Source organism: Homo sapiens, chromosome 15 (assembly GCF_000001405.40).
Source record: "Homo sapiens chromosome 15, GRCh38.p14 Primary Assembly".
Taxonomy (NCBI): domain Eukaryota; kingdom Metazoa; phylum Chordata; class Mammalia; order Primates; family Hominidae; genus Homo; species Homo sapiens.
In genome coordinates this window covers 42,520,041-42,528,261 of record NC_000015.10, presented here as the reverse complement: position 1 = coordinate 42,528,261, position 8,221 = coordinate 42,520,041, and the positions used below count along the sequence as shown (strand labels likewise).

The following is an 8,221-nucleotide window of genomic DNA, read 5'->3' as shown; positions in this document are numbered from 1 at the left end:
CTATATAAGAGTCAGGAGTGTAGGGAGATACCAAAAAAAAGAAGACGGAGAGTTCTAATTATTAGTGCCTGTTACCTTGAGGATGACACTAATAACTCTAGTAGAAAAGCTGCATACAGCTAAGTCTAGATGATCTACACTATGCTCCATGGCAATATGGAATAGGAAATAGATGAATTATGTAAACCCATTGACACTAAAAAAAATTTTAAAAAGGTCCAAATACTACTTCTACCAAATCTTCACTAGGCTGTTAGCAAGTAGCAAAAGGCAACTATTTGATTTTTCAGGTTCCCTTAGCCTCTGGCACTATCGTTTTGCTTTTCTCTTCCTAGTGTATCCAGCACTATCTAGAAAAGAGGTTAATGCACATTACTTAAAAAAAGGTCCCTTAGAAAAGGTGTTCTGGGATACCTTAAGAGGTTCCTTGAAGGCATCTCAGAGGTTGACAAGGGATGACAGAATAAGAAGGCTGATGCTGGGTGCAGTGGCTCACGCCTGTACTCCCAGCACTTTGGGAGGCCAAGGCGGGTGGATCGCTTGAGCTCAGGAGTTTAAGATCAGCCAGGGCAACACAGCAAAAACCCATCTCTCAAACTCCTGACCTCAAGTGATCCATCCACCTCGGCCTCCCAAAGTGCTGGGACTACAGGCTCGTGAGCCACTGCTCCCTGCCTCAAAATGCCATCTCTATAAAAAAATACAAACATTAGCTGGGTGTGGTGGCACACGCCTGTGGTCCCAGCTACTCGAGAGGCTGAGGTGGGAGGACTGCTTGAGCCCAGAAGGTCGAGGCTGCAGTGAGCCATGATAGTGCCACTGCACTCCAGCCTGGGTGACAGAGTGAGACCTAATCTTAAATAAATAAATAAAATTTTAAAATAAGAAGACTGAATTTGAACCAGCGTAGTTCCAGCTGATCAGTTTTTATTAGAATTTTCCATGAAATTTTAAACAATGGTTTCTTACAAACAAACCAGCCATCAGGAAAGAAAGGCATGAATAATTTCCAAATTGGACAATCAGCGGACAAATAAGTACCTTGACCACACAAGCGGTCATTCATAAATCCTGTAGTGTAGGAGTTTTTCATTTAAGAGTTTCCTCTTTAAAAAAACGATCAAGGCCGGGCACAGTAGCTCACACCGGTAATCCCAGCACTTTGGGAGGCCAAGGTGGGTGGATCACCTGAGGTCAGGAGTTCAAGACCAGCCTGGGCAACATGGTGAAACCCCATCTCTACTAAAAATACAAAAATTAGCTGGGTGTGGCACCACGTGCCTATAATCCCAGCTACTGGGGAGGCTGAGGCAGGAGAATCGCTTGAACCCAGGAGGCGGAGGTTGCAAGGAGCCAAGATCACACCACTGCACTCCAGCCTGGGCAACAGAGCGAGACACTCCATCTCAAAAAAAAAAAAAAATCATAAGTCTAAGTGTCTTAAAAAGAAAGAAAAAGTGGCTATTACAGGGAAAAAAAAATGGCTGTTACGGAAAAGTGACACAAAACTTTTCTTGATTATTTGGCTAAAGTCAAGCTTTCATTCAATTTTAGTTTTCACTTTTCTATAAACAAAAACGAAATAGTATGTTGCTCAAATATTGATCTCTGATTTATTCTACATTTTACATTAATAAGGAAGTTTTAAAATTGCAAAAATTAAAAAGGTAGGGAAGAGATTTTATGAAAAAAGTGACTTCTTCCTTAATAGGCATGTGAGGATTCATTTTCGGCAAACCTAGAATTGAATCTTAGACTTTATCATTAACATTACAGAAAGGATACTACTAATTTTTTTTTGTGAGAGGCATTGCAAAGGCAAATTTATGAACACTGAAGAGCTAGTTCTCCAAGTGTGTTTCATGGTACCACTTTAAGTTATCATAATTATGTTTCTATGCTGTTTTTATTAATTAACCCATTTATTTATTAAGAAGCCATGTTAAATTTTTCTTGGAACAAGGTAGGATATATATTTTTAAAATAAATATTCACATGTATTCTTTGTTAATAATAAGAAAGGTCCCAGGCAAAATTCTAGAGCAGAGTAAGTGCTAGTAAATAAAACAAAAGCAATATATTAGTTTATCAGAAAGTTAATAACCACAAATATTAACAGAAGTAACAGAAGTGGGGCTTTTATTAGAATTTCGGATTGTGGAACAGGTGCAAGAGAGAAGGTTGAAATTCCAAAGTAACTAATGAGATATTATGTTTCTGACAGCACAAAAAGAGGAGTGGACTGGGACATGACCTTGGGTTCTGGTCTATTAAGGAATATATATGCATTCCAACCTCCTTCCCAACATTAAGAGGCAATATTTGAAAAAATTCTTTACACTTATGAGAATTCTTCTTTCCACAATTAGATATAAGGGCATAAAATGCAAATGAATTGTTTAAAAATGATCATGTGAATGATTTTTAATTGAAACATAGTCTATAAACAAAGAATCAGATTGGTTATCAAACTCTGCTGTCTTTAAAATGACTGGATCTTGGCCGGGTGCGGTGATTCACACCTGTAATACCAGCACTTTGGGAGGCCGAGGCAGGCAGATCACGAAGTCAGGAGTTCGAGACCAGCCTGGCCAACATGGTGAAACCCTGTCTCTACTAAAAATACAAAACTTAGCTGGGTGTGGTGGCGCTCGAATGCAGTCCCCGCAACTCAGGAGGCAGAGGCAGAAGAATCACTTGAACCTGGGAGGCAGAGGTTGCAGTGAGCCCAGATCGTGCCACTGCACTGCAGCCTTGGTGACAGAGTGAGACTCCGTCTCAAAAAAAAAAAAAAAAAAAAAAAAAAAAAAGAAGACTGGATCTTTGAAGATGTTCTTTCTGTAACAAGGGGAAAAGACACAAAAAGCTGACTTTGAATTTTTTTTTTTTTTTTTGAGACGGAGTCTCGCTGTATCGCCCAGGCTGGAGTGCAGTGGCACGATCTCAGCTCACTGCAAGCTCCGCCTCCCGGGTTCACACCCTTCTCCTGCCTCAGCCTCCCGAATAGCTGGGACTACAGGCGCCTGCCACCACGCCCGGCTAATTTTTTGTATTTTTAGTAGAGACAGGGTTTCACCGTGTTAGCCAGGGATGGTCTCGATCTCCTGACCTCGTGATCCGCCTGCCTCGGCCTCCCAAAGTGCTGGGATTACAGAAGTGAGCTACCGCGCCCAGCTGACTTTGAATTTTTTTACAGCTTTGCATTGTGTTGGCATGTTTACCTTCAAATGGGATGGGGAAAAAAACTACTTGTTTTTCTTGCAGTTATAGTATGTTCTGCGTGTTTATGAAGGGGTGGTGGGACAGTTCAGTGCGTCTCATTCAGCATGTCCACTCTAGGTAATGCCTTTTGGTTGCTCAAGACCCTGTTACTGGCCATCACCCTGGAGTTTCCTCCACCAAGTTGGAACCTGTTTTTAAGGCATTGTCAGATAGCTGCTTATCTAAGTTAATAAAATAAAAAATGTTCACAAATATAAATATGTTTTTAAACTAATTTACTTTCCTTCCAAAGGGTCTTAGATGCTTTAAAGGTAATACCTTCCAAACTTGACTGAGTATCAGAGTGACCTCAGCAGTCCCCAACCTTTTTGGCACTGGGGAACCAGTTTCATGGAAGACTATTTTTCCACGAATGGGGACCAGGGGATGCTTTGGGGATGAAATTGTTCCACCTCAGATCATCAGGCATTAGTTAGATTCTCATAAGGAGCGTACAACTAGATCTCGCACATGCACAGTTCACAATAGGGTTCTTGCTCCTATGAGAATGTAATGCCACTGCTGATCTGAGAGGAGGCAGAGCTCAGGCAATAATGCTCACCTCCTGCTATGAGGACCAGTTTCTGTTAACAGGCCGTGGACCAATAGTGGTCCATGGCTGGGGGGGTTGAGGGCCCCTGCTGTAGAACACATAGATAGTAGGCTGCACTCTGAAGATTCTACTCCAATACACATGGAGTATAGCCTGGGAATCGTTTGTTGTTGTTTTATATAAGGTCAGTGGGACATTTAGCGATCCAGGAGGAGTACTTTAGATTACTCTGGTAGTCTATTATAGACTCTAGTAGTCTATATATTGGAGCACTAAATAATTAATCTAGAAGAAGCAAAGGGACATGTCAGGATTAAAACAAAACAAAAAAAAGCCAGGCGCGGTGGCTCACACCTGTAATCCCAGCACTTTGGGAGGCCGAGGTGGGTGGATCGTGAGGTCAGGAGTTCAAGACCAGCCTGGCCAAGATGGTGAAACCCCGTCTCTACTAAAAATACAAAAAATTAGCCAGGCGCAGTGGCAGGTGCCTGTAATCCCAGCTACTTGGGAGGCTGAGGCAGGAGAATCACTTGAACTCGGAAGGCGGAGGTTGCAGTGAGCTGAGATCATGCCACTGTACTCCAGCCTGAGGGACAGAGTGAGACTCCATCTAAAAATAAACAAACAAACAAACAAACAAAAAACAAAAAACAAAAAAGTAACAGCATTTGGAGTAAAATAACTAAATCCCAATCCTAGGCATGTCATTCAGAAGCTACAGAATCTTGAGCAAACTTCAGTGTCAGAGCATCCCTTTCTTTGTACGTAAAACTAGGATAATAACAATACTTAATGTTTAGCAGGGCTGTAAAATGTTCTGTTGATAACAGACATAAAACTGCTTTGTAAATCACTGGATAAATATTTTCATTCATTGGCTTCAACTTCAACCTGACCTTTAGTCAACAGTTCATGCCTGTAAGTGCATGGGTTACCAACTGGCATGTTTACTTTTTGGTCCATTACCATTTCTTGGCTTTGAGATCTACAGGTACATGAATGTAGTTGGAATATCGTGACATGAAAGATTACTAGGACCAGGTTGTTTTAGTCTACAGTAAGAAAGAATAGTTCTAATCTGTGACAGGACTCTTGAAAATAAAATGTACAGCCCCTCTGGGAAGAAATTAGTCTTCATGATAAAATGCCTAAGTAAATTTGTGATAAATTTTAATGAAGTTCAGAACTCCATCTAGAAACTTAGATTTACAACTGACTGTTAGTTCTGAGTGGTCTAATAGTCTTTAACTGGAACCTTTTTTTTTTTTTTCCCACTTAAACGTCTCATTCAAAAATGGCAAGTTTTCGGGTGTGTGGCTCACGCCTGTAATTTCAGCATTTTGGGAGGCCAAGGCGGGTGAATTACTTGAGGTCAGGAGTTCAAGACCAGCCTGACCAACATGGTGAAACCTATTCTGTACTAAAAATACAAAAAATTAGCCGGGTGTGGTGGCGCACGCTTGTAATCCCAGTTACTCGTGAGGCTGAGGCAGGAGAATCGCTTGAACCTGGGAGCAGAGGTTGCAGTGAGCTGAGACTGAGCCACTATACTCTAGCCTGGGGGACAGAACGAGACTCTGTCTCAAAAAAAAAAAAAAAAAAAAAGGCAAGTTTTAAGTAAGAATCTGAAATATCCCTTAGTCAATTCAGGAAGCTGGTATCAAGCATAAAACTGTAAATATCAAGGTATGAGCACAAAAACGATAATTTCTTTTTTTTTTTTTTTTTTTTAGTTTTGGTTGCATCAATATTAGTTTTAACTGAATTAAAAATAGCAAAAATAAAACTAAATATTAGCTGTGACTATTTCACATCAAGGAGAAAAGGGACCAAATAACTATTAACTAATAATAAAGAGTGAATGTGAGTGTGTGTATGCTTTGGATAGTCAAACTAAGAAAAGAAGAAAAAAGGAGGGCAGGAAACAAAGGGTAGAAATCAAATACTTAATTTTTTAACATTTAATCATGTTCATAATTCTCATAAAGATCTAAACTTAAGAGTCAGACACAATAATAAACAGTAAGCTGACAAAACTTACCTCCCATGAAAAATTAATATTAGTTAGTTTTGTATTAATTCAACATGAAATCACAGCAAGTTAACACATGATGTAACAGGAATTATAGAATAGTTTATAACATATGTAGAGGGGAAACCCTTATTTAAGGAAAGAAGATACCAGATATGGTAGCATTTAAAATTTTATATCCCACCTTGTTCCAAATAGGATTTGAGACGACTAGACTGGCAATTGATTCCTTAATTTGGTAGTGGCCTAAATCATGGGTAATCCTAATCATTAGAAGCAAAACTTTAATAGAGGAAATCTTGACTCAAGAACCAGAAAAAAGTAGGGAAACTTAATGGAAGACAGGATGCTAAAATCAAAGTCTATGAAGACAGAGAAGCATTTAGCATGACTTCCCTTACCTTTTATCAGAACTAGACTGCAGCAGCTGTCTCAAAGATCAACCTATTTTAAATTTCTTAAGAAACTCCAGGAGTATTGTTATTTTGGTAATCTTAAATGTTATTTAGCAAAAACTTAGTTATCAGAGACATTTGTCAAAGGATGGTATTATAAATTAAGGTCCTTTTGTCAAGTCCATCTTTTGTGAGATAGCACCCATCAAGAACAAATTCACTTTACACTACACACCACCACACAGTTTAGAGACAGTTTTCACCATTCACAAAATCCATGCACATGCACAGAAAAGCCATTTGAAGCATCACCTTTAGATAGCAGGTTAGCAGCCCAAACTGCGCCACAAGACTGCATCTTAAAGTTCCCTTTGATCAGTTACTGAGCCCGGCTTCTGATGTTAAATCTTCATTTTTAGTAAGCAGATTAGAAAGGAAGAGATTAGGTGAGAGAATGAAATGCAGAAAATAGTAAATGCCAGTCAAACAGAACAGAAGCAGGTTTAAAGTTTTAAAAACATAATGCATTCAATTTCCTGCCTGGTTTCATAGAAACAACCAACATCTGAGAATCTAGATAAAAAGAAAAATAAGAAAACTATTTAAACCAGAGCACATTTCATTTTTCCTCAGAATTTTGGGTGATGATATTCTTTCCTAAAATTAGACAATATGAGAGAAGGCAAAAACCAATGGAGTGCTTTGAGACTCCTTCCTCTTAGTGATTAAGATTTCTCTTAATGACTTCTATTATGTATTTTATTTTCTTATATATTTTTTCATTGTAATTTTAAAAAATCTTTTTACACGTCAAACTCTCCCACCAGCCAACAAGTTTCTCAAGGACACTCAAATCAACAAGTGTTTATTGAGTAACTACTGTATATCCAATACTATGTGAGGTATAAAAAATCATGTCATGATAAATAAAACAGGCAGGGCCAGAGGTATGCCTTACTCATATTTGTGTCTCCAGTGAGCAGGATGGAAGAAGCACTAAACCACTGAATGAAATATAATTCAATATTCATTTTAATTAGTCGGAGCTGAATTTTTACACCTTGGTATGACTTAAGATCGGAATAGCAGTAAACCTGTAGTGCCAATTTGGAACTTCTCTAGTAAGTGGTCCAGAAATGCCAATTTGTCTTCAAACTATGTGCCATTGTTAGACTTTATAAAACAGGCAAGTTAAGACAGAAGAATACCTTATCTAAGAATGTTTAAGGCCGGGTGTGGTGGCTCACGCCTGTAATCCCAACACTTTGGGAGGCCAAGGCGGGCGGATCACGAGGTCAGGAGATCGAGACCATCCTGGCTAACACGGTGAAACCCCGTCTCTACTAAAAATACAAAAAATTAGCCAGGTGTGGTGGCGGGCGCCTGTAGTCCCAGCTACCCGAGAGGCTGAGGCAGGAGAATGGCGTGAACCCGGGAGGCGGAGCTTGCAGTGAGCCGAGATCGTGCCACTGCACTCCAGCCTGGGCAACAGAGCGAGACACCATCTCAAAAAAATAAAAATAAAAAAAAAGAATGTTTAAACTGGGACATCAAGCAGTTTACTATTCTGAGACTTCCCATTTTAAATCTGTCTGCTTTCAAATTCTTGTTAATTAGAATTACAATTTATCAATTACTGCCTAAGATATGTGATTTTAAAAAAGGATTTGTGGGCTGTGCGCGGTGGCTCACGCCTGTAATCCCAGCACTTTGGGAGGCCGAGGTGGATGGATCACGTGGTCAGGAGTTCGAGACCAGCCTGACCAACATGGTGAAACCTCATCTCTACTAAAAATACAAAAATTAGCCAGGCGTGGTGGTGCACGCCTGTAATCCCAGCTACTCGGGAGGCTGAGGCAGCAGAATCACTTGAACCTGGGAGGCAGGGGTTGCAGTGAGCTGAGATCACACCACTGTACTCCAGCCTGGTGATACAGCAAGACTCTGTCTCAAAAAAAAAAAAAAAAAAAAAAAAGCAAG

The 8,221-nt window shown here is 39.8% G+C and overlaps 1 protein-coding gene across 8 annotated transcripts in view; it reads right to left on the bottom strand.

The window, feature by feature from the left end:
* Window positions 1-8,221, bottom strand: part of SNAP23 (synaptosome associated protein 23) — a 41,930-nt gene that overhangs the window by 4,797 nt on the left and 28,912 nt on the right. For 3 of the 8 annotated variants that reach the window (XM_047433199.1, XM_047433200.1, XM_006720725.4), the window contains one exon: window positions 6,782-6,814. The exons of the other annotated variants lie outside the window; for them this stretch is intronic. In XM_047433199.1, the coding sequence (XP_047289155.1) occupies window positions 6,782-6,814 (33 nt within the window). The remainder of the gene's footprint in view (window positions 1-6,781; window positions 6,815-8,221) is intronic. 8 annotated transcript variants of the gene reach the window in all.